Raw genomic sequence first — 26,431 nt, forward strand, 5'->3', positions numbered from 1 at the left:
GCCTCAGCCTCCCAAATGGCTGGGACTACAGATGCCTGCCACCACGCCTGGCTAATTTTTGTATTTTTCTGGTAGAGACAGAGTTTTGCCATGTTGGCCAAGCTGGTCTCAAACTCCTTGCCTCAAGTGATCCGCCTACCTCGGCCTCCCAAAATTCTGGGATTACAGGCATGAGCCACTCTGCTGGTCCAAAAACATCTTATTTAAAAGGATTCTGAAGAAATATAAATCCACTAGCTGGTTGAGACTAATACATCACGTATATATCACATTTACTATTGGTTTCCTCTGAAAGCAGAGTATGGTAAGCTGACAGAACAGGGCATGAGAAAGAAACTTTGGTGATAGCCACCAACAAAAAAACAAAAAACAAAAACAAATAAACAATCTGGAACGTGGACCCAGTGAGGGGAGGATAGGCTTGAATAAATTTGTACTTCTAATTTAATTTACACAAAAGCCAACCAAAAGGTAAAGTTAAAAAAAGGAAGAAAAAAATCCTGCAGCCTAAGCAGAATTATCATCTCAGACCCACTTTTATTTTACTCGCTACCCACTAATTTCCTCATCAAAAAAGTGAGTAGAAAATTAATGCCAATAACTAGGGGTAGACAGCCAATGCCTATCAAAATAGATTTTACACAGCACTTCCTTTAGGGCCAGACATCCAGGTATTCTCCAGCTTTGTGTCTGGACTGTGGAGTCTACATACCAACTAAATCCTAAATAGCACAGATCAAACTGGGGGCTTGGTAGCAAGGCCAGGTGTCACACACCCTGTGGGCAGTATAAGAAGAGTCCTATTCAGAGTCCTTAATAGAACCAAAAACATTTCCTTCTTCTAGATTTCCAGGTTTTTAGTTTTATCAACTAATTTTTATTTAGCTCTCACCCTAGATTTAGCATCTGGAAATAGAGGTGTCTACTGGAGGAATTGTGTTATATGTAGCCCAAATGTGTTCATTCTCTTTTTAAAACTGTGTGCCTCTTAAGCATCAAGAATACATTGTTTATTTTCATTGACCTAAGAATTCTATCTCTCAGAATATATTACTAAAACTGATTTTAGTTATAGATAAACATCTAGCCACATGCTATTCATAGCAGAGAGGCAAGTCAAGTTGCAGGCAAGGTTAGGTTTAGTCAATCTCAATGAATTAGAAGCAGTCATTATAAATGACCGAGTATGCAAAATACAAAAGCTTATGATAAATTGAAAAAGAAAAACCCCCAACAGATTGCTACAATGTAATAGATTGGAAAAACAGAAAAAAAAAATCCATAGTGGTTGATAATAATGAATAAACTATGGGACATTTTTCTACTTTTAATTTATTTATCAAATGTTTATGGAGGATCAATAAATGCCAGGCAGTGTTCTAGATGATTGACATACATCAATGAGCAAAGACCCTTGACCTCATGGAGCTTATATTCTGACAGATGGAGACAAACATATTTATTGTGTCAAATATGTAGTTAGTTTGAACTTAATAAATAGTATGAAAAGAGAAGCTCTTGAGGAAATGAGTTGACAGTATTCAAATGTCACCTTCTCAGCAGGGCCTATCCTGACTTTGCCCAGATCTCCACTTGATTAACCCTTATCCCCAAGTCTTTCCAGAATTAATAAGGTGTTCCAGGCAGAGTAAACAGCTAGGGCAAGACTCTAGGGTGGGAGTATGCCCGGGGTGTACAAAGCACAGCATAGAGGTCGACGTGGCCAACGCAGATTGAGAGTTCAAGGGCAAGTAGGAAAAGAGGTCAGAGAGAATGGGGTCCAATCATACAGGCTCAGGTAGCCGGCTGTACAGACCATTGGTTTTACCAGGTGTAAAGAGAGATGTAGATTCATTATCCAAACATTAAAAATTTTAAAAAATTTAAATATTCAATGAGGTAGAAATTGTAAAAATGTCATGACTAGTAGACTGTGGATTGCCCCTCCCATCCTTTGATCTTGAGAGTTGCTTCTACTGATGGCATATTATTATAATTTTCTACTTCTTGGAAGGGAACTAGGCAGGGGTTCCCAAGTGGCACAGAGGTAACACTTCCTAGACAAGAGGCATGTGTGTGGCAAAGCTGTCTCAGAGGCTGCATTCCTCCCCTAGGATCTTCAGATGCCCACTCAGCCTCAGTGGGTAGTTCATTATCTCAGTTGTGCCTTCATGAGTCTGCTGGGATTGAGAATTGCCTATGAGTCAAGCAGCATACTTACTTACCACTCTCACTCCACAGCTTTGTCTTTTGTGCTGCCAGGTCATTTGCCAACTGAGTCACCTTATCTAGCTTTGCAGTTGCTTCATGCAAGCGCTCTTCATATAGAGTACAGAGTTTCTCAGCATTTGCCTATAAGTTGAGAAAGAAGGGCTGGTCAGGGCTCACAGAGGATACTCTGAATCAGCTGCACAAAGGAAGAGGGGAGGAGTGGCTCCAGGGATCCGCATGCTCTCTTCTGTAGTAAAGAGCTCAGCCAGCATTGGGAGATCACATCTTCTGATTTCAGCAAGCACAATTAACTCTAGGGTCTGGACCCCAAGAGGCCTAAACTTTGCAGAGTATAGGTGTCACGGGAGACACCCAACTTCCTGGGTATTAGGATCCTTTCTAGAATTATTTACTTTTCTGGAGAAGGAAACATGTCAAACGCTAATGAGATACATGATCCTTTTCTGACAGTACATATTTAACTGTCTTTTTCACTAGAATATAACTCTCATGAGGGTAGAGATCCAGTTTAAAGATATACCCCCTATTGTATAGAATAGTGCCTGGCACATAGGAGAGCAATATGCAAGGGTGGAGAGGCAGACGAAGGGGAAGGAAGAGAGGTAAGAAGGGGAAGGAGGAGGAAGGAAATCTAGAAGGCTGCCCAAGCAGGATAGAAGAAAGGGATGGATCTAAGCCGCAACAGCCTAATAACAAAATGTGAGCTGCCAAAGCAACTGTACCCTCCTGATCACTATGGCTACAATCTCAAGATGACCCTGTTGGGTTAACACTTCAATCCCCAAACCCAACTTCTCAGAATTGGCTTTTCATGCCTGGAGAAAAAGATATGACATTGGCCTTTGCACTTTTACCCAATTAAAGTAACCAGTCTAATCGCCAGACTCTTGCCACACTCTGAGAACTCATGCTAGTGGTTTTGAGACCCAAGATCCTCAGACGGGACTAAGAGTTGCCAAATGTAAGATGAGGTATCCCCTTCACATACAAATTAACTATAGTTTGCATTCTTATTATTTATATGGTCAGAAACAGTAAAATTACATTGGTGGTGGTCTTCCATGGTTCTACAGATTTTACATAGCTGTTTTGATGAAACTCATGTATAAATTATCTTTTTATTATCTTTTTTTTTTTTTTTTGAGACAGAGGCTCACTCTGTCACCAGGCTGGAGTGCAATGGCACGATCTTGGCTCACTGTAACCTCCACTTCCCAGGTTCAAGCGATTCTCCTGCCTCAGCCCCCTGAGTAGGTGGGATTATAGGCATGCGCCACCATGCCCAGCTAATTTTTGTATTTTTAGTAAAGATGGGGTTTCACCATTTTGGTCAGGCTGGTCTCGAACTCCTGACCTTGTGATCCACCCGCCTCAGCTTCCCAAAGTGCTGGGATTATAGGCGATCTTTGAATGCCTTCCATCTGCCCCATCGTGGGTGATGATGATGATGACACTATTAATGATAATAGCAGCAGCAGTTAATTTATTGGGTGCTTGTTACATACCCAGCTCTCTTCTGAGCTCTATGTTTTAAATCTCAATTAATACAGCAGTCCATGAGGCCTTTGTCTGTACAAAGAAAGTATGCTATGGAAATGGAAGAACTGGGAGACAAAGAAGAGATTACACCAATGAAATTTTGAGAAAACAGTGAGGTCTGGTGAGATGATGAAAGCTGATGGTGAGCCTAATAGTTTTCAGTGTTAACCTAATTGTTATGATAGAGCAATGGCCAAAGGACCAGGAATATTTCAAAGGTGATGCCAGGTTTAGTCCTCTGGAAAACTTCTGTATCAGCCAAAACCTAGGCCATCTCTAGCTGGAACCTACGCTCTGTTTAAGATTGCTTCCTTCATGCTATGTTGCAGGACTTTTCCTTAGTTCAGCTAAAGATGGGGTTCTTTGTCCCCGGCCACAAAAAATCAGGCTCACAGACAATTTGAATGGTGAGTAAGACAGGGTTTGATTAGGTGAAAAGGAAGAAAAGGGGGAAACAGGGACTCTCACAAGGCCAGAGTCCCTGCTTGAGCGCTTGCCGCCCGCAGCTTGAATCCCAGGTTCCACACAGGAAGAGGAGGGGCCAGGCTTCAACCCAATGCAAATGGCGTGAAGTTTCCGAGGCTCCACTCCAGTGGGCAGGCTGGTTGGAGTTTCTCCAGGGACCCCCTCCCACCTGGCTGTCTCACTTACTAATGGCTATTCTCTGAAAGACTACTGAATTATGTCTTCTTATATCTCCAATGCAGTGTTATGTAGTTCCAGTTCACAGATGTCCTACAGCACACCCAAGCTTGGTAGAAACAGACTTAACAGAGATTCAATGGCCAGTTTCTCGAACGATGCCATCAACCTCACATAGGTTAGAGCATTAATGTTAAATGCCAGACATGCTCAATTGTCCCCACTCTCCACTCCTAACTAGAAGAAAGCTATAGTAGTGATCAATGTGACAATTTTTAGGTTGTCTGCACAGTTTCTAATTATATGTTGAATTTGTTTGCTCTCACTTCTGAAAATGACTTTGACAGTCAAAGTTGGCATGCTCATTTTCTTCCTCACGATATCTCTCAAAAGTTCAGATTGCCTCTTTCTACAAATGAGAAAACTGAGCACCAGAGAGGCTAAATAACTAGCCCAAATTCACACAGCTATTAAATGTCAGAATTGGAATTCGAACTGAAACTGCCTGTGCAGATGCACACACACACAGAAAATGTCAAATATTAGATTTCTAAACATCTGTTGTATGAAGTGGTGATAAAGGAAATATTAAGGATTAATCGACTTGATGTCCTAGGTGGCCCAAATTGTCATGAATCCTGGGTTCCAGAGGAAAATGGATAAAAATAGGATGATTATGAAAACCATTTTTATTTTATGATGTCTCCAATAGTAAATGACCTGTTAACTGAGCCAGGAGGAACATATCCAGGTGTGAAAAATGGCATCTGTTTAGGGCCCTGAATATGCTGTGCTATGCACCTGTGTGCTTAGGGTGAAAAAGCACGGATCTCTACAAGACAACTTAGTCAATGGTGCGTGGAAATGGTAAGAAAAAGAGCCAAAGACTTCCCAGTTTTTCAAGAGAGGTCTCCACGTGGTGAAGGCCAGCTGGGCTGTGTGTATCTGTAGAGTGGGCAGCCCACTTGGACAGATAGAAAAGGCACTTGCCCTTAGGTATAGCTTCACATGGTAGGTATCCACATAGGCACTGCTAACCACTGGTATAGTGTTTCCATGTATAAAGTATTTTCATAAACAGGATCTGCAAAAAGACAATTAGATTGTTTATCTAACAGTGGCCTATATGGGGATATAGCATGCAAAAGAGTTGTACCCTCAAAAGAATTTTTAATTTAAGCATAAGGATAAGCGGTATGTTTTGATACCAGGGATGAGAAGGTTAATAGAATAAGGCACATTTATCTTATAGCTGATTCTTAAAATGATGCATAAAAATGCTGCCTCCCAGAAATGCAGGGACCAATGGGAATTCAAAATAATCAAGATAATTGTGAAATTTCCTATAACTTCTAAATTGCCCTGAGCCTCTCTGTCAGCATAACATGCTTTTGAAAATGCTTCAGTCTCCACTGTACCACTCAGCATTGGCATTCTTGCCATTATAATTCATAAAATGATAAAGTAAACAATTCAAGGAACAGTTTAGCCTAATGTATATGCCTATGAGAGTTAACAGAAACAATTTATCATGCCAACAAATATTTAAAGCAGTAACAGGACATGCTCACCAACAGACATACACAGGATTTGGAATTGGAGTTCATCTCTTCCATAGAATTGTGTGACCTTGGACAAGTCACTGAATCTATGAGCTCCAAGAGGTATACGTAAAAGTTGATGCTAGTAATTGAGTGCAGAGACTCTACAAAGCACTGTAGTAAACATGAAAAATGAGACCTAGTTTCTGCTTTCAATGTTAGCAAGGTTAAAAGACTAGATAATGCATAAGTATAAAGAGGGACCCCAAAAGTGCTACAGGAACTCAAAAACAGGTAAGTCTTTAATGCAGGAGGTTGAACTTGAGCATTCCAAAGAGAATAATTAGTTTGGAAAAGGCAGATTGGTGTAAAAATGAATATTTGTTTAAAGGCAACCTGAAATGGAAGGTCCATGAAACAAAGCAATGGGATCTAAAACTGGCAAGACTGGTTGACTCTGATCAAAGGTTACAAGGTACCTTGAAAGCAGAAGTTTGGAGTTCATTTTTAAGCAGGGACATAATTCAATAAATCCGTGCTTTATGAATATTCTAAATACTTTACAAATATTAATTTGGGCATATAAATATAGGATGGTTTGAAAAAAGGAAGACTAGAAGCAAAAAAGATAATTTAGGAAACCACTGCAGTAATCTACTTAAAAAGTAGACAGACCTACATGGGAATGGGAATGGAAAACTATGAGATGGTAAAAACTGACCTGCTGCGATAATTGACTGAAAAGCAAATAGGGAGGAAAGAAGTGGTTGAGACTTAGAACGTGAGTTATAAAAAGAAACCAGGTGCCAGTGACAGAGATGTTCAGAGGAAGTGCCAGCTTCAGGAGAAACAAAGACACATGGCAGGGATTAAAGAGTAAGGAGGTAGTGAGATACACACCTACTGCTAGAAAAAGCCTATATTCCCATGAATGGAACATTAAGAATCCTTCTGATGAGGACTCACAAGAAGAGGAGAGCTGTAGAGAGAGAATTAATCTTCTTAGAGATAGTTGGATGGCTGTGATTACAATGCTGGTAGTAAAACAGACAGTAAAGGCAATTCTGCTGAGGTCTTAAATGGAAATGGGGAATATCCTATTGGAAACTGGAAGACAGACCATCCTTGTTACAAAATGCCAAAGAACTTGGCTGAACTATGCCCTGGTCCCTTGTGGAAGGCAAAATTTAAGAGTGATAAACTAGGATATTTGGTGGAAGAAATCCTTAAAGAAAGTGTTCAGGGCTCCATGGCTTCTCTTGATTGCTTAAAACAAAATATGAAGAGAGAGAAATAAAGATGAAATGTATAATCAAAGAGAAGCAGAATTGAAAGATTTAGAAAATTCTCAGCCTGGCCAGATTGTGAAGAATAAAAAAGTATTTTCAGAAAAAAAAAAAAAACCCTAAGGACATAGACAACCAAACATTTGATAAGGAAATTAGTAGGGATAGAAAGAAGACAGGTGCTATTCATCAGGAGGATGGACTAATGACCCTGAAGGCATTTCTGAGACCTTTGTGGCTGCCCCACCCACAAAGGCCCAGAAGGCCAGGGCCTTGATGGAAACGTGATTTCAAGAGAGGATTCCCTTGAGACCTCAGAGCTTGCTGCCCAGGGCTGCCTCAAGTCTTTGCTCCCCACATGCCAGTTCAGTGCTCCTCTGCCACTCAGGCAGGCCCAGGTTCAGCTCAGGTCACCACTCTGGAAGGCACATGCTGTAAACCATAGCAGCATCCATACAGTGCTAACTCTGCAGGAGATATGGAAGCATAGCTCTTCCACCTAGATTTCAAAGGATATTTTGGAGAGCCTTGGGGTTCAGGCAGAGAATTGCCATGGAAGCAGGACCACCACAGACAGCCCCCACTATGGCAGTGGTGGTACTGTGAGGGCAGAGCTGCCCCCAACACCCCAGACTTGTAGAGCCACCAGCATGCAACACTAACCTGGGAGAGCCACAAGCACCCAACTTCAATTCCTGAGAGCTCCTGCCAGGGGGGGGCAGTGCTACATGGGGCCCTGGGGACCCAAACTCCACCCCAGTATGTCCAGAAGGTCAGACATGGAGTCAAAAAGATTATTCCCCACTTTCAAGATTTAATGTTGTTTGCTGTGTTTTCTGTTGGGCTTTTCCCTTTGTCACCTCTTTTTTCTTTCTGATTTCTCTGTTTTTCGGAATGGGAATGTCTATGCTATGCCTGTTCCACTATTTTATTGTGGAAACACATAACTTGTTTGATTTCACAAGCTCACAGTTGGAGGAGGAATTTGCCTCAAGATGAATCATGCCTTGAGTTTCACTCCTATATGATTTAGATGAGACTTTAGACTTTTGAGTTGACGCTGAAATGACTTAAGTCTTTGGAACCTATTGAGGTAGAATGAATGTATTTTGCTTATGTGAAGGACATAAATTTGGGGGGCCAGAGGTAGAATGCTATGGACTGAATATGTCCCCCTAAAATTCATGTTGAAAGAATGGCCAGTGTGATAGTGTTAGATGGGGCCTTTAGGAGGTGATGAAGTCATGAGGATAGGAGCCTTCATCAATGGGACTGGTACAAGGGAGCATCTGTCCCTTTCCCCTTTTTGCTCTTCTGCAATGTGAGGATGCAGCAAGAGGCACCATCTTAGAAGCAGAGAGACCTCACCAGACAATAAACCTGCTGCTACCTTGATCTTGGACTTTCCAGCCTCCAGAACTGTGAAAAATAAATTTCTATTATTTGTAAATTACCCAGTCTGTGGTATTTCATTACAGCAGCAGGAATGGACTAAGACACACACACACACACACAACACACACACACACACACAGAGAGAGAGAGAGAGAGAGAAAGAGAGAGAGAGAGACTGTTTCTTTCTACTCAGTATGGTATTTAAAAGGAATTAATATTAAATATTTCAGAAACCACTCCATATCACTGAAGATATTCTACATTTTTCTAACCATAGTCCATGGAGATCAAGCTTTATTGTCAGGCCATGTCTTTCCCAGATGACTTTATAAAATCTGCTCACAAGGAGAGAAGGTTGCAGCAACTAGCCATTTGCTCTGCTTAATCTAAAGCAAAGCTCCTCTCAACTACCAAAAGACAGGGTCGCTGATTTCGATGATCTCATAGTAACCATTTGACATGACAGCTTGCAGCATATAGGCTAATGGGCTCAGTAAAGAAAGAACATGTGATGAACCTTTCTTATAGTACTGGCTGATTAAAAAGATGCCAGAGGACTTGAGGGAGAAAAAGTTCCCTCCTCTCAGCAAAGCTGTTTGTGTACACCATTCATTCAGATAGGTTCTAGGAGTATCCAGGCCATCACTGAGGAGCACTTATAACAAAAGTCATTCTTCAAGACAGACATAGATAGTGGCCTCAGATTTCCAGCTCACTTACTTGTGCAATCACTAAAAAAATCCATAAGGAACATGGATTTGAATTCTGTTAAAACCAGAGGCCACTGTCAGGTCACATTCTGGTGATGGCTGTGTGACCTTAACAATGACCACTAAGGTCAGGCCTGATCTATTCCGTCCAAAGGACTATAGTCTTCATTAGAAAATACACTGAGTCACTAAGCTGGCTTATTTTTCTTTTCCCTCCCCTCCCATTTCTTCCCCTCCCTACTTCCATGTTCAGAAGACCACGAGGATGGCATGGGAGTATCTACCTTAGCTCTTGTCATCTGCTCAACACGGGTCAGGAGGTCATCTACTTCTAGCTGCAAGTCACTCTTGTCTTTTTCCAGTTTCTGCTTGACCTGCTGTAGATTTTCTACCTGGCCCTCGAGCTCAGCCAGGCTGTCTGCATGTCTCTTCTTCAAAGATGCAGAAGTTGTCTCAAAGTGCAGAGTGGCCTCTTCCATGTCTCGGTGCAGCTTCTGGAATTTGGTTTCCTGTTTCTTAGTTATTTCCAGCTGAGCCAAACTGGATCCTCCTACCTCCTCCAGCCTCTCATTCAAGTCAGCCAGGTCTTGGGTGAGGTCAGCTCTCTCCCTTTCCATCTTGGCTCGAGTGGTCCTTTCAGCTTCTAGTTTCTCTTTCAAATCCTTTATTTGAGTCTGTAGCAAGAAATAATTTTGACTTTTACTAAGCACTTGTAGCAAGAGCTTTACTCTATTTTTTTTTAATCACAAAGCTAACATGAAACTTTTGGTTCCCAATTTACAACTAAAGAAAACAGAATACACAGAAGTTAAGTGATTTGCCCCAATTCAGTACCAAGACCAGAATTAGAATTTGCAGTTCTGCCAAATTGCTCAGCCCCTGATGATGGGCAAGCTCATTAAATTATATAGATGGAGGGGAAAGCTTAGTAAAGAGCACTTCCCAAAGAAACAGGAAAATATCTTTCATACGACCAAAAAAACTGTTTAAGAGCATTTATAAAAATTGGAATGGTAAATTTTATATACAAAAATCTTCCTCATTTGAAATTCGTTTATCTGATCTCAACTATCTAGGACTTGGGCAAAAATCTGATCAATAAAATGAACATCTTCAAGTTCAAGCAATTTAATTGTAAGAAATAGCATCAATTTAATTTTACACACAATTCTAAAAAACTTGGTTACTTGGTTTTCTAGTCTGCAGGAGATTTCAAGGAAGAGATTTGAAATAACAAACGAGAGCTGGTGAAGGAATGTGGACTACTAAAGCGAGTAGAGATACAGTATCATCAGAGGCAGGATTATTGGAAAAAAAAGGTGATAACAACTCTCAGAGCCCCAAGCCCTTTTAGTATAGGCCAAACAGGTCTACAAATCCTGAGAACATTACTGTATTACAGTACAATGAAGCCACTGATGTTATTATCATCACCTTAAGTAATTAGGCATAGATTAGGATAGGGGAGAAAACAAGATAGAAACTGTTTTAGAATATGTTTTCCTTTCCATTAAATAAGACTACTGTGGCTTAGAAAAAACTAATTTCTAGATTATATCAAATAAGTAGTCTATCAGTTCTATAGATGAGGTATGACAGAAAAGGTGCTTAAAGAAAGTATGATTTCCACATTCAAGTAACCATGATCCTCTTCCAACTGGTTATCATGGGATCCAAGAAAATATTTATCCCAAATAATACCACCATTGAACCAAACATTTCTGAAATGTTTTGTCAGAAATAATCTTTAGAGAACTTTTTGAGTCATCAAGGTAAGGAAATTTGTCTTTTGGATATATAGAAAAGTTTGTGTTTTTTTACTTTATTTTGGATAAAGTCAAGAGTCATTTGAAGACAAGCCCAATGAATATGATAACCACTTGGAGATTAATAGTGTGTCTGAAACTAAAATGTTTACAAAACATTGAGACTGGTTTTCTTATTTGGCTCAAAATATCTCAGAAGATAAATATCAGAAAGATGTTCCAAAATTATTTTGAGTCATGGTTATATTACTAAGATATTTATTTAGCTTCAAAGGGAAATTATCCATCTAAATGTGTATGTGTGCAATTGTGTGTAAAATTACTTTACAACATGGTCATATGCTATAAAACTCACATGGTCTAAAACTTATAAATAGCTATCCATTATCAAATAATGTTTTGAGGCCACAAGTACCTATAGAACTTACTGATTTTCAATCGCCTTCTAATCACAAAGAATAATCATCATAAAAATTAAATTGCTAACACTGAATGCATACCATGGGTCAGGCACTGTGCTTACTACTTAAATATATTGTTGCATTTAGTAATATGAGCTCAATCGTTGCCAGAAGGATTCATGAGTGAAAAAACAAGTTTTGGATTTTAGCACAATGCCTGGTTCACAGCAAACAGTCAACCAATTAGCTATTCATTTTTATTATTCTCATAAGGAAATTTAAGCTTAACTCTATCTGTGGAATGCCACAGTTTCCCTTCTTAACCACTGTTCTTTTCTGCCTCTGCCTGTGGTTGGCTAAGGGTATGAATACCTTGGCAGAGAATTAGTCATTGAACCACCAGTCATCACCCATGGATCTAAATATAAATACACAGGCATATTTGATAATTGATTACCTGAAGCTCTTTAACCGTCTTCTGAAGCTGAGCTACCAGGCCTTTCTCATTCTCCACTTTTGAATTCATCTGACTCAATTCTAATTCTTTTCTGTTTAGAAAAAGATATCAAATACAATTGTTCAGAATAATAACATTTTGTTTAAAGTAGTTAGAATTGTAATATTCCTAACACAAAGAAAAGATAAATGTTTGAGGTGATAGATATCCCAATTACCCTGATTTACTCATTGTACATTGTATACAGGCATCAAAATAGCACATGCACTCCAAAAATATGTACAATTATTATATATCAATAAAAAAACACAACCAGGCTTTAACCAAAAGTAAAAAATACCATTTTGTTTAATTATGTTTTAAATTATAGATATAACACAATAATTCATTCTCATTTTAAAACTTCAATGATTATACCTACATCTGAAGTTTTCTTGGCTATGATACCTGATAAGGTTTGGCTGTGTCCACCCGAATCTCATCTTGAATTTCCACATGTTGTAGGGGGGACCCAGCAGGAGGTAATTGAATCATGGGGGCAAGTCTTTGCTGTGCTGTTCTTGTGGTAGTGACTAAGTCTATCTAACAAGATCTAACGTTTTATAAAGAGGAGTTCTCCTGCACAAGTTCTCTCTTTTTGCCTGCAGCATCCACGTTAGATGTGACTTGCTCCTCCTTGCCTTCCACCATGATTGTGAGGCCTCCCCAGCCACATGGAACTGTAAGTCTGTTAAACCCTTTTTCCTGTATAAATTACCCAGTCTCAGGTAACTTTTTTATCAGCAGTGTGAAAACGGACTAATATAGAAATTGGTACCAGTAGAGTGGGGTGCTGATGAAAAGATACCCAAAAATGTGGAAGCGACTTTGGAACTGGGTAATAGGCAGAGGTTGGAACAGTTTGGAGGGCTCAGAAGAAGAAAGGAAAATGCGGAAAGTTTGAAACTCCCTAGAGATTTGTTGAATAGCTTCGACCAAAATGCTGATAATGAAATGGACAATGAAATCCAGGCTAAGGTAGTCTCAGATGGAGATGAGGAACTTGGGAACCAGAGCAAAGGTGACTCTTGTTATGTTTTAGCAAAGAGACTGGTGGCATTTTGCCTCCGCTCTAGAACTTTGTGGAACTTTGAACTTCAGAGATATGACTTAGGGTACCTGGTGGAAGGAATTTCTAAGCAGCAAAGCATTCAAGAGATGACTTGGGTGCTGTTAAATGCATTCAGTTTTGTTTTGTTTTGTTTTCAGACTGAGTCTTGCTCTGTCACCCAGGCTGGATTGCAGTGGTACAATCTTGGCTCACTGCAACCTCCACCTCCCAGGTTCAAGCAATTCTCCTGCCTCAGCCTCCTGAGTAGCTGAGACTACAGGCTCATGCTGCCCTGCCCAGCAAATTTTTTGTCTTTTAGTAGAGGAAGGGTTTCACTGTGTTGCCCAGGCTGGTCTCTAAGTCCTGAGCTCAGGCAATCTGGCCGCCTTGGCCTCCAGAGTGCTAGGATTACAGGCATGAGCCACTGCACCCTGCCTGCATTCAGTCTTATAAGGAAAGCAGAACATAAAAGTTTGGAAAATTTGCAGCCTGACAGTGTGATAGAAAAAAAAAAATCCCATTTTCTGAGAAAAAATTCAAGCCAGCTGCAGAAATTTGCATAAGTTACAAGGAACCAAATGTTAATACCCAAGACAACTGGAAAAATGTCTCCAGGCCATGTCAGAGGTCTTCACTACAGACCCTCCTATCACAGGCCTAGAGGCCCAGGAGGAAAAATTGGTTTCGTGGGCTGGGCCCAGGGTCCCCGTGCTGCGTGCAGCCTAGGGACTTGGTGCCCTGCGTCCCAGCTGCTCCAGCCATGGCTGAAAGGGGTCAACATAGAGCTTGGGTCATGGCTTCAGAGGGTGCAAGCCCCAAGCCTTGGCAACTTCCACCTGGTATGGAGCCTACGAGTACACAGAAGTCATGAATTGGGGTTTGGGAAATTCCACCTAAATTTCAGATGTATGGAAATGCCTGGATGCCCAAGCAGAAGTTTGCTGCAGGAGCGGGGCCCTCATGGAGAACCTCTGCTATAGCAGTGTGGAAGGGAAATGTGGGGTCAGGGCTCCCACACAGAGTCCCTGCTGGGGCACTGCCTAGTGGAAGTGTAAGAAGAGGGCCACTGTCCTCCAGATACCAGAATGGTAGATCCACTGACAGTTTGCACCACGCACCTGGAAAAGCTGCAGACATTCAACACCAGCCCATGAAGGCAGCTGGGAGGGAGGCTTTACCCTGCAAAGCCGCAGGGGAGGATCTGCCCAAGACAATGGGAACCTACCTCTTGCATCGGTGTGCCCTGGATGTGAGACACGGAGATCATTTTGGAGATTTAGGATTTGACTGCTCTGCTGGATTTCAGACTTGGATAGGGCCTGTAGCCCCTTTGTTTGGGCCAATTTCTCCCATTTGGAATGGCTGTATTTACCCAGTGCCTGTACCCCCATTGTGTCTAGGAAATAACTAACTTGCTTTTGATTTCACAGGCTATTAGGCAGAAGGGACTTGCCTTGTCTTGGATAAGACTTTGGATTGTGGACTTTTGAGTTAAAGCCGAAATGAGTTAAGACTTTAGGTGACTGTGGGGAAGGCATGATTGGTTTTGAAATGTGAGGACATGAGATTTGAGAGGGGCCAGGGGCAGAATTATATGGTTTGGCTGTGTCCCCATCCAAATCTCATCTTGAATTTCCAGGTGTTGTGGGAGGGAACCTGTGGGAGGTAATTGAATCATGGGGGCAAGTCTTTCCCATGCTGTTCTCATGATAGTGAGTAAGTCTCTTGAGATCTGATGGTTTTATAAGGAGGAGTCCCCCTGCACAAGTTCTCTCTGTTTTTGCCTGCCGCCATCCATATAAGATGTGACTTCCTCCTCCTTGTCTTCTGCCATGACTGTGAGGCCTCCCAAGACATGTGGAACTGTAAATCCATTAAACCCTTTTTCCTGTATAAATTACCCAATCTTGGGTATGTCTTTATCAGCAACATGAAAACAAACTAATGTCATACCCAATCCCTGCTTTCCCACTAGAGGAAACTACCATTATCCATTTAGTGTAAATCCTTCCAGAAATTTAAGTACTGACATATGTTTGTGCTTACATGTGTACATGTAGCTGTAGAGTTTCATTTTCCTTACTGTGATAGAATATCACATACATTTGCATGTATAGATTAACAACTTGATTGATATTAATATATTATTACATTAAGATATTGATAATAGCATTTATATTAAATATGTATTTAATATTAAATATTGTTGTATTTAATATTAAATATTGTTGTATTTAATATTTTAAATATATTATTGAATTGAGAATGGTTTTTTTTTTTTTTTGAGTTTCACTCTTGTTGCCCAGGCTGGAGTGCAATGGTGTGATCTCAGCTCAGCTCAATCTCTGCCTCCCAGGTTCAAGCAATTCTCCTGCCTCAGCGTTCTGAGCAGCTGGGATTACAGGCATGTGCCACCAAGCCTGACTAATTTTGTATTTTTAGTAGAGACAGGGTTTATCCATGTTGGCCAGGCTGGTCTCGAACTCCCAACCTCAGGTGATCTGCCCACCTTCGCCTCCCACAGTGCTGGGATTACAGGCATGAGCCACCACACCCAGCCTGAGAATGTATTCTTATCAATATATTAAGCTTAAAAATCTTAAGCTATTATATTTTAAGCTAATTATTATATTAATAACATATTAATTCAATATTTTTCTACACAAGCCTACACAGAGTACTCCATTTAAAAATTAACTATGACATAATATTTCACGATTTAGACATTCCTTAGTTTGAATTTCACAATTAATAAGCACTTAGGTTTTCCTTAATATTTTGCTTTTACAAATCAAACTATTCATAATCATGCCCCTTGTATACATGAGAGTGTTCCTCTAGAGTGGACACTGAGCAGGAAATTACTGGGTAATGTATAGGTGAGTGCTAAAAAAATAAGATAGCCCTGTCCCTTGCTCTCCATTAGCAGTGTGAGATCATTGCTTCTCTACATTTATTCTTAATATCATACTTCTGAAATTTTCTTAGAAAATAGATTACTATTTCATTGTTTTATTTTGAATGCCCTCGTTTACTAGTAATGACTGCATCTTGTCAACTATTAGTATTTTTAAATGGCCAGTAAACCAAATGGACCGCCTGTGTATGTTCTTTGCCCATTTTTCTGTTAGGTTTGTTCATCTAATTATTGAGTTATAGATTTTCCTTGGATTCTTGACATTTTTTATATTTGTTACAAATTTTTATCTCACTTTATAACTTGTCTCCATTTTATTTGTGTTGGCGTTTGCCACATGTTTAAAATTTTGATGTCAAATATATAATGCCTTCCTTTTGTCTTTGGCTTTTTGTGACTTGTTCAAGAAGACTTATCCTGTCAATTTCCTAAGAATTATTGACTGTATTTTATTCTAATTTTTTAAAAATTGTGGTAAGAACACTTAACATGAGCTCTACTCTCTTAAATTTTTAAGTACAAAATGTAGTATTGTTAACTACAGGCAAAATGTTGTAAAGCAGATCTCTAGAACTTAATCATCTTACATAATCAACTTTATACTCATTGAACAGAAACTCTCCATTATTTCTCCCTCCTCCCAGCCCTTGGCAACCACTTTTCTATGAATTTGTTTCTATGAATTCGATTATTTTAGATACCTCTATCAGTGGAATCATGCAGTCTTTTTCCTTTTTGTGACTGGCTTATTTCCCTTAGTATAATGTCCTCCAAATTCATCCATGTTTTTCCACATGGCAGGGGTTTCTTTTCAAGGCTCAATAATAGTCCACTGTGTATGTATATTTTATATACATATATATATATATATATGTATGTATACAGATGTATGTATGAATGTATGTATGTGTGTGTTTGGGATTTTTTTTCATTTTTAAGTTTATTTTTTATTTCAATAGGTTTTTGTGTATATGTATATATACATATATGTATATGTATACACACACACACACACACACACACATCACATTTTCTTTATCCATTCATGTATCAGTGAATATTTAGGTTGCTTCTATATATTGGCTATTGTGAATAATGTGGCATCTTCTAATGGTTTTATGGCTTTGTTTTGACATTGAGTTCATTAGTGCAACTGAAGTTTGTGTTTATAAATTGTATGAGGTAGCAATTTCTCTCACCTCAGGAAATTAATAGCTAATAATTCCAATACCATTTAAGTCTCTTGTCATCGCTAATTTGAAATGCCACCTTTATCGCTTATTGTTTCAGATATACATAGGTCTATTTAGGGGAAAAGTTTTATAATAAAGTTACAACTTTTTGAAAATATGGATTTCTAAAATGCTAAAACTCTTGACCTGTGGCCTACACGACATACAGTATCATTTACACTTTGCTGGTTATCATTTGCACTGAAACACAACTTCAAAATTGAATGCTAAGGGAACTCTATCATCATTTTGCTTTAATTATTCCATTCCATTCATAAGGTCGCTTGTTTCATCGTTTCTAAACACCTATTAAGCCCAGTAACTTGTTAGCAGAATATGAGTCAAGCCTCACCAAGAGCATGTATAATAGCATATGTATATACCAACAAGAAAGCCAGATGCTCACAGCTGGTCACTGGACTCTCTTCCCTCTTTCACTGTGGGCCTCAACCATTGATATACTACTATCTTTAATGTGGCCTTTTTTGAGACAGAGTCTCGCTCTGTCGCCAGGCTGGAGTACAGTGGCATGATCTCAGCTCACTGCAACCTCCGACTCCTGGGTTCAAGCGATTCTCCTGCCTCAGCCTCCCAAGTAGCTGGGACTATGGGCACATGCCATCACGCCCAGCTAATTTTTGTATTTTTAGTAGAGATGGGGTTTCACCATGTTGCCCAGGATGGTCTCAATCTCTTGACCTCGTGATCCACCCACCTCGGAAACCTGACCCATCTTACTCTTCATCCTCACTGTTTTCTTCTCTTATTTGGTATAATCTAAATAAATTGAAAATCCCTAATGGTTAAAAGAAAAAAAAAAGTCTAGTTAAACAGAGGAAGATGACAAAAGGGAGAAGGTGAGAAAATCCATGTCACTGACTAGTAGAACTAAACTGAGAAAGCCAAGTTGCCCTGAGTTCTTTGGGGTGTAAGGAATCCAGATGAATTGAAAGTTTCCCTAATTTTGATCATTTTCATGGCTTGTTTTAGATTTTAAGGTTTAATATTTATATAGTAAATTATTTCACCAAATTCCTATATAAATATTAAGTTATGTCTGGCAAACATATATTATTTAAGTAATCTGAGTATGTAAGTCTTCACATCAGGATCAATTTTTTTTTTTTTTTTTACATTTTATGCCATTGGTCTCGTCATGAGTAAAAAGAAGAGTGTCATTTTTATTTTTTTGACGTATAGCTGCAAGTTCCCAAAAGTTTACATCTCATATACCTTACACCATTCTTTCTCATTTGCTAGTCAGGTATTTTCTGTTACGTCCTTCTAGATTATGCATCTGGTCTCTTTACAACTATAAAATAAAGTCCAGTAAAGAAAAAAAAAATTGTTTCCTAGGCTTGTTATCCTTGCCTTGGGTCTTGAGCTATCTGGCCCTGGAGTCCTAAGGATAAATGAAATGAGAAAGCTGTTCCTTCTAATATAAGGTCTCCAGCAATCTCATGTCAACAGAAAGGTGGCTTACTTCCTCAGCTCTTCTGCCAGGTGTCGCTGGCTGCTTTCCAGGTTCTCCATACTTTCCCGATTCAGCTTTAAATTGCCCTCCAGTTTGTGCAGTTCCCTTTCACAGTTCATTCTCGCTTTTCTCTCCTGCTCAAGGGCACCCTCAAGCTGACAAAAGGAAACATTATTTAGCTAAATAAATAGGTAGAGTTTATACTTCACTAGATGTGTTCATTAACCACTTACCTTCTGGAAAAAGAAAGACACAAGCACAAATTCTATAAATGATGCCCAGTAACATAGATATTTCCAAATAAATATTGCATATGTCAATAGGTTAACAAAAGAATCCAGAAATCACAGGGATGGAAGAAAACTAGAAATAACAGAATATGAGTTCTGTCTTAGGGAAGGAACCAACAAGAAATGGCCAGTGAGCCCTTGATTGATCGTTTTCCAATGATAGGAAGCTCACTTCTTCACATGGCGGCTCATTTCACGGGTGGATAAGTCCATTTACTTGGGAGTGCTTCTTCATAAGAAGCCAAAATATTCCCTGTAAATTCTATCCACAAGTACAAGCTCTGCTCCCTGGAGCAACACCAAGCAAATCAGTTTCCGCATGATCATCCTTAATAATTTGCAAGAACCCCCTGGCATCACTGGCCCATTCAAACACATTCTCACATGTCATGATTTCCAAGCCCCGTCACCACCTTGGTACCCTCTTCCAGTTCATAACATTATGTCATATTCTGGTTCCTCACTAAATGTTCCCCATCAGAACATTCCAGTTTTGTATGGATTAGTATTGCCAGGAATTATATAGAGGTTAATTTTCCAGGAAGCTAGATAACAGTCACAATATGGCTTTTTATTTATTGATATGTTTACTTTAAAACAATGGAAGATATCCTCTGTAACCAGCCAAAGAGATGAAATTCAAATTGGGAAGGAGGGAGAAATTCTGGAAAGGATTCCAAATTCATACGCTGAAATCCTAATTCCCAGTATGATGGTGTTGGGAGGTGGGCCCTTTAGGAAGTGATGAGGTCATGAAGGTAGAGCCCCCATGAATGGAATTAGTCCTTATAAAAGAGATCCTGGAGAGCTCCCTTGTTCCTTGTGTGATGTGAGGACACAGGGAGAAGTCACCCTCCATAAACCAGGAAATGAGTTCTCACTAGACACCAACTCTGCTGGTACTTTGATCATGGACTTCCCAGCCTCCAGAACTGTAGGAAATAAACTGCTATTTATTTGCCACCCAGTTTATGGTATTTTATTATAGCAGCCTGAATGGACTAAGACACCAGGAGAGAATAAGTGTGTGGGTGGGTGTGTGGGTGTGGGTAGGTGTGTGTGATGTGCATATATAAGCACACATATAAACACCCAAAAATCCTTATGCTGAGGCTTTGTGAGATATGTTATTATTGGAAATAGGAACAAATGTAACACAACGAATAGATAATAGAAGAAATTTATATAGAGGCAGGAAGAAAGAGCAGCAGATAAGAAGAAAAAAAAAAAACCTAACCACTCTTGTCAACAATTTTATAAAGGCTACACTTTGGGGACTACTGTGAGCATAAATGCATACACTATGTCAGCTGGGGTGGGAAAAAGGAAGAATTATGAACCCACACATTGAAACTGGTGTGAAACAGCTTTATTTCACAGGGCATTTAGAGGCAAAATAGGGGCATCATCTCTAGAATCTTAAAAGTATTTTCCAATAGTGTAGGTAGAACACAACTTGTGGCTCACATATCTTTCAACCATAAATAAATCTCAGCACACCACTGGAAACACACATGGCCTTTAAAACTAATCCTTCAACACTAGTGGTAAATAGAGTACCAGCATATCTGTGGGGCAAAATACCAGGTTCTGTGGGAGATATGGGGAAAAGCCAGTCACCTAGAGTGATAACCCTTTACCATTCATCTTAATGTTCTTTTTCCATTGCCCAGGGTTGAATGAAAATTGCATTTAAAAACCGACAGATTATATGCAGAGACCTCTCTTATACTATCGTGGTTTTGTGTATAAGAAAAAGAACCCTTTTATTCTCAATAATCAGGAAAACAAACTATGCTACTAGGTTTTTCTGAAACTGTCAAGATAAATTAATGAAGTAAAAACTGGAGTTATGTGTATATGTAGACAGATAGATAACTAACCAGATACACCGTTACTGACCTCATCAACTTGCTGTTCCAGCTTCAGATTTGCTTTGCTCAGGCTGCTGAGCTTCTCCTCCTCCATGTGCAGGTCATCCAGGGTCTGCTGATGGGCCTCCTGCACAACCTTGGCTGCTCTGTTAAGTTTGCTGATATCCTCATTTAGAAACTCTACTTCCTCAGTCAAGTTCTTGACCTGTGGGAAGAAGATGACAGCTTCATTAAAGCCACTGCTGGAAAGTTGGGCATAACACTGAGGGTCATTTCTCTTCTGTCGTCCAAAACTACGCATGAGGTATCCAATGTCACAAAAAGCTGTATTTAGCCAAATTCCTGATACGCTTTCTAAAGCTACATTTAGTTTTTCTCCCACAAAAATGATCTGTTATCTGTCATGGTGAGGAAATGGAGTATTCTGTTTAAACATTAATATGGGTAAATAATTAACATTATTTATAATTATTTAACATTATTAATATGAACTAAATTGGATGGCCAATTTAATTCACATTATTATATAACAGTAACAACACTAAAAGCAATTGCAATTTCTTTTGAGGAGTCATGGCATGTACTGATTGTGTTGTGCCTCAGTATCCCAAGAAAGTGGCAGTTAAAGAAAGGTTCCAGCTGATAAAACATGCAAACATGGAAGTTGACTGTATCAGGCCCATGTGCTTTTTATGAAAGGGAATCAATAAAAATAAGAGTGCTACTTAATAGCCTGCCAAAATTACGGTGTCACTTTGGAGATTGTGTATCAGAGGCTTGATGCGGACTCCTCACTGTCCTCAATCCACACACAGATGCGCAAGTTAAAACCCTCAAACAAACTCTCAGCCAAAACAAAACATGAAAGCCCTTAACTAGAATTAAAGTGACATCTTCAAGGTCAAACTCCAAATCAATGACACAGCTGGGGACTCAGGCACATCCCAAATTATCTTTTAGCAAACCATATCATGCTCCCTCTCCTTCCAAAAAAAAAAAAAAGGGTTCTTACAGGCCCGATGAAACCATTTTACTCTATTACAGAGTTCAGATGCAATAGGATTGAAACAAATGAAAATGTTTCATTTGGGAGATTAAATAAGGTTCCATAAGTTCAAATTGGAAATCTGAATTGGGACAGCATAGTTTATCAGACTCTATATTTTGTGCCAGTTCTGACTCTCAATGCTGTAAAGTTGCAGGCCACTGTGTTAATTAACTTGAATAGAGCAAGTCAGATACCAAAACCTGATTTGAGAGTGGAATTCTGGCTGCTAGGCCTTCTTAACTAACATTATGGAAAAAGTACCTTGTGCTCTGTAGTACGCTTCTCCTTCTCTGACTTCACCAACATTGTTTCCAGGTCATCGATTTCTTTCTTCAACTCAAAACATTCATCTTCGAGTTTCCGCCCCCTGGCAGTCAGCTCAGAATTTATCTCCTCTTCTTCCTCCACCCTCTCCGACAGCTCCTTTACTCTGGCCTCCAGCTGGATCTTGGATTTAATCAGCCACTCGCACTGCTCTTCAACATTTGCCAGTGTCTCTTGCTCCTGCCATGATGAGGAGAAAATTGTTGCCAACAGCTGGAAGTAATTTATCAGCTAGGCGAAAATGCTGCTTAACACACAGCAAAGAGATAATTGCCTGCCCTCTGCCCAGCACTTTCACCTACCTTTCCTAAACAGCTGCAATAATATTCCCAGGTCCCTGATCCGATCACTGAGAAGTGGAGAAGTTGCTTGTGTTTGGAGGTGCTTTCAATCTCTCAGGCCAATTCAGTAGATTAGATTACTTCTTCTAAAGCACTTAATAGAATCCTGGTGGCCTAAAGGAGCTAGCATGCCTCCAAAAATCAGTGGTGTGCTGCTTAAACCACAGCTTCTGGAAATATCCATGTAGGCACAGAGTTTGAGGTTGATAACTGCTCAGGAAATCATCTTTTAAGAAAGCAGAGTTCCCTCTGAATATTGCACTGTAACTGTTATAAGTGCATGGATGTACGTGTTTAATATACATCTCTTCTAATAAATTGAGCTGAGTCATATGTTTTTTAAATTCATAGGCTAAATTTAGAATTCATAAGGTTATTTGCAAGTCACTAACTAGAGTTCACTGTTATTTCCAACTAAAATTTTTGCCTCAATGATTCTGCCAGCACGGAGTTACACAAAGAGCATGTGGTACTCTTTCATTTATCCTTTCACAGGCACTGCCTCCAGCTCTTACTGGGTGACCCATTGTTTCTGTGTTATGGGTCAAGTAAAAAGCAAAGGGGCTTTTTACTACAGAGCACCTTTCATAACTTTAGACCCCTCTAATTTGTCTTCTTTATTGGCTAAATAAAACCTCTTCTTCATGAGCAAGTTCTTAATTGTTGCGGGTCTTGCTGTAATATAACTTTACATACATTTTCACCTTCCATCTCGAGACCTCACCTATCCTTCATAATATGCCAGTTTGGGCAACATATTAATGATCCATTTGCCTCACTTAACTTGTGTCTGCTAATTAGATCAAGAGTGGGGGGCTGGGGGGAGGTAAAAATCCAGGCTATTGGCCTCTGAGTAGCTCCTGGCTGGAGAATGGCTGCCTACCCAGCAAACGGGGCTCAAAGAAGCACAGATGGAGAGAGGTATAGAATAATAAATGTACAACTTCACTGAAAACCCCAGAACAGGGGCTAAATAGAAAGAAGTATCAGGACATTTAGGAAGGGTCAATGCAAATCAGAGAAGCTTCCAATGTATGGGAAATAATGGGGACATTTTATCTTAGTTCACCCCAGGTTGACAAGCAGAACAGTTTTTGCTGCATTCCATTCAGCCTGTATACAAGACCTGTCACCATCACTGAACAAAGAGGACAGTCCAATCGACCATCATTGATCTCTTCATTAAACATGACAGCAGGATTTGGGGGCTGAGCAATGGTGTGGCAGTTTAGCAGTAGGAAGATTCTTTCCCCAATGGCAGCTCTCTGACATACTCACAATGTTAATTGAAATGGGGTCACTCAGTTCTGCTGGAATTTTGACTAAGCAAAGAAGGATTTCAAAATATTTCTTTTTTTTTTTTTTGGATTCTTTTGTGTTTAGCTTTCTCCCTTAAAATAATCATAAATAGATATTATATATAATAATATATAATGATAGCTCTGTCAACTTCTTAATCACAGTTACAATCTGAACTCATCTCAGCCTTCTTGGGTTTGCTCTAGAGTTTGCTTCCATGTGTTTCCCATGCTCCCTACAATGACCTTTGACATGCATATCAAGCTTTTGTCTACCATGCCCTACACAAGCTGGGTCCATTTCTATCTCCTGCATCACCCCAGGTAGCACTGGCTACTTTCCATCAGTAGGAAGAATGATAGAAACTGGGAGGCGAGGTCTCAACCAAAGTTACCTATTCCCTAAACCAAAATATTTTACAAATTGTGATTCTTACAGTTTCTTACAGTAGCTTTGAAATGGGGCCCAGGAATTTGTATTTTTAACAAGCATACCAGGTAAGACTGTATACATTGAAGTTGTAGAATCACTGCTATGTTAAATACGTATCAGAAATGGGGGTTTGGGTGTAAAGTCTTACATAAAATACAGCCTGTTGGCATGCTGGTAGATAATACAGCTCCAAAATATTAAAAAGTAATAATAATAAAAGAATAACTTGTGTCAGTCTGAAAGCACTAAATTTTCTGTTTTTAGTAGAGTTTAAAAACAAGAAAAACTGTTGTTTCTTGTTTAAAAAGCAAGATAAATTATATTTGAACACAGCATTTTTCAACTTAATGCTGTGCTAAGTAGAGAGGAAAGTATTATAAAGGTGGTTAAAATTTCATCCTGGCCCTTTGGGCTGTTTCAGGATCACAGTAGTCCGAGGGCTAGGGAGGAGTAACATGAAAGAGAGTGAGTAATGACACGTTAGCATCATACTGTAGACAGAGGCTTGAATGCCAAAACCAGGTGTTTGGAATCTAAAAATGTATGTATTATATGATCTGAGGGTTGCTCACCCATAAAGCGACATGATGCTTTTTTAAAGACAATGGTTCTTAATCTGGACTGGATATCAGAGTCACCCATAGAGATTATTTGGACCCACACAGAGTCTGCTTAATCAAAATATCTGAGAGTGGAGTCTAGGCATCTTTATTTTTTTTTTTTTAATGTTTCACAAATAAATTTGATACAAAGCCAAGGTTAAGAACTGTTTTAAAAACTCAGCTCATTGAACAATGAGAACACATGGACACAGGAAGGGGAACATCACACTCTGGGGACTGTTGTGGGGTGGGGGAGGGGGGAGGGATAGCATTAGGAGATATACCTAATGCTAAATGATGAGTTAATGGGTGCAGCACACCAGCATGGCACGTGTATACATATGTAACTAACCTGCATATTGTGCACATGTACCCTAAAACTTAAAGTATAATAATAATAAAATTAATTAATTAATTAATTTTTTTAAAAAAAGCTCATTAGTAATGTTGATTTGGACCCAGGAAGGGGAAGCAGGGAGACCAAAATCAGGATATCCGACTAGAAGCACACTGCAGCATTCCTGAAGATCTCAGTCAAGCTTTTCTTGGGACCTACTAAAATCCTGTCTGCTGATTTGCTAATGGGTCATGGGCTACATAGAAACTTTAAATTAAGACCCAGAGCTTCCTGGCCTCCATGATGTGCTATTATACAGTAAAAACCCATCTGATAATTTGTCCCTTTTTAAAAGACATCTTGCCAATTAAATCACTTCACTATGAAACAGGGTATCTCTTTGTTTTCATTGTCTTTGGTTTTATAAAATCCTTTGGTATTTGAAAACCACATGCATCTATTTTTTTGTTTCCGTGTCAACACTGCCTGCTTAACAAGGGAGTCTAATTAAAAACTTGATTTAAAGAACAAATGGTGGGGCTACTCACAGCCTGAAGCTGAAGAATCAGGTCATTTTTTTCCTGAGTGAGGGATACTTGCTTTGCTTTCAGTTCCTCCCTCTGAAACTCTGATTTCTCCAAGGCTTTCTGTAATTGTGCACACTCTTCCTTCAGTCCAGCTACTTCTTCTCCTACTTCTGAAGATTTAACAAGAGGCTTGATCTTGAAGAAGAGCCTCATCCAGGGCCAGTTCTTCACAGCCATGAAAGCTCTTATGTTCCATTGGATCAAAATAAGTGCATCCCTAAATCAAGAAAGAAAAAAGAAAAGCAAGTTAGCCCTGACTATAGGAGAATTAGTTCCCAAATTAAGATCCTCAATAAACACATATTTTTAGGAGTCATAAAAAATTCTTATTAGTCTTCAAAGCACTTTTATATCTGGACTTTCACTTGATTCTGGCAAAAACTCTCCAAGGGATATCTGGGGTTAGCAGTATTATGGACTAGATATCCTAAAAATGTTCCTACCACAAACATTCTTTGAATGAGAGCTGAACCTAAAGAGAGTAAGACATATAGAAGGCACCAAAAACTTGAACAATAAGTGAATGCATGCATAGCTTGGCCATCTTTATGGAAGGAGGAAACAAGTCTTGGTATTGTAAGAGTTTGTATTTTCATATTCACATGGATAAAAAGG

At 39.4% G+C, this 26,431-nt stretch overlaps 1 protein-coding gene across 2 annotated transcripts in view; it reads right to left on the reverse strand.

Moving 5' to 3' along the window:
- Positions 1-26,431, reverse strand: part of MYH15 (myosin heavy chain 15) — a 170,705-nt gene that overhangs the window by 38,495 nt on the left and 105,779 nt on the right. For both annotated transcript variants that reach the window (XM_011512559.3, NM_014981.3), the window contains 7 exons: positions 25,778-26,033; positions 22,156-22,398; positions 20,875-21,051; positions 18,692-18,837; positions 11,970-12,060; positions 9,630-10,019; positions 2,226-2,352 (listed from right to left, as the gene is read on the reverse strand). In XM_011512559.3, coding sequence (XP_011510861.1) covers positions 2,226-2,352; positions 9,630-10,019; positions 11,970-12,060; positions 18,692-18,837; positions 20,875-21,051; positions 22,156-22,398; positions 25,778-26,033 — 1,430 coding nt within the window. The remainder of the gene's footprint in view (positions 1-2,225; positions 2,353-9,629; positions 10,020-11,969; positions 12,061-18,691; positions 18,838-20,874; positions 21,052-22,155; positions 22,399-25,777; positions 26,034-26,431) is intronic.

This window comes from Homo sapiens, chromosome 3 (assembly GCF_000001405.40).
Source record: "Homo sapiens chromosome 3, GRCh38.p14 Primary Assembly".
NCBI classification, from domain to species: Eukaryota; Metazoa; Chordata; class Mammalia; order Primates; family Hominidae; genus Homo; species Homo sapiens.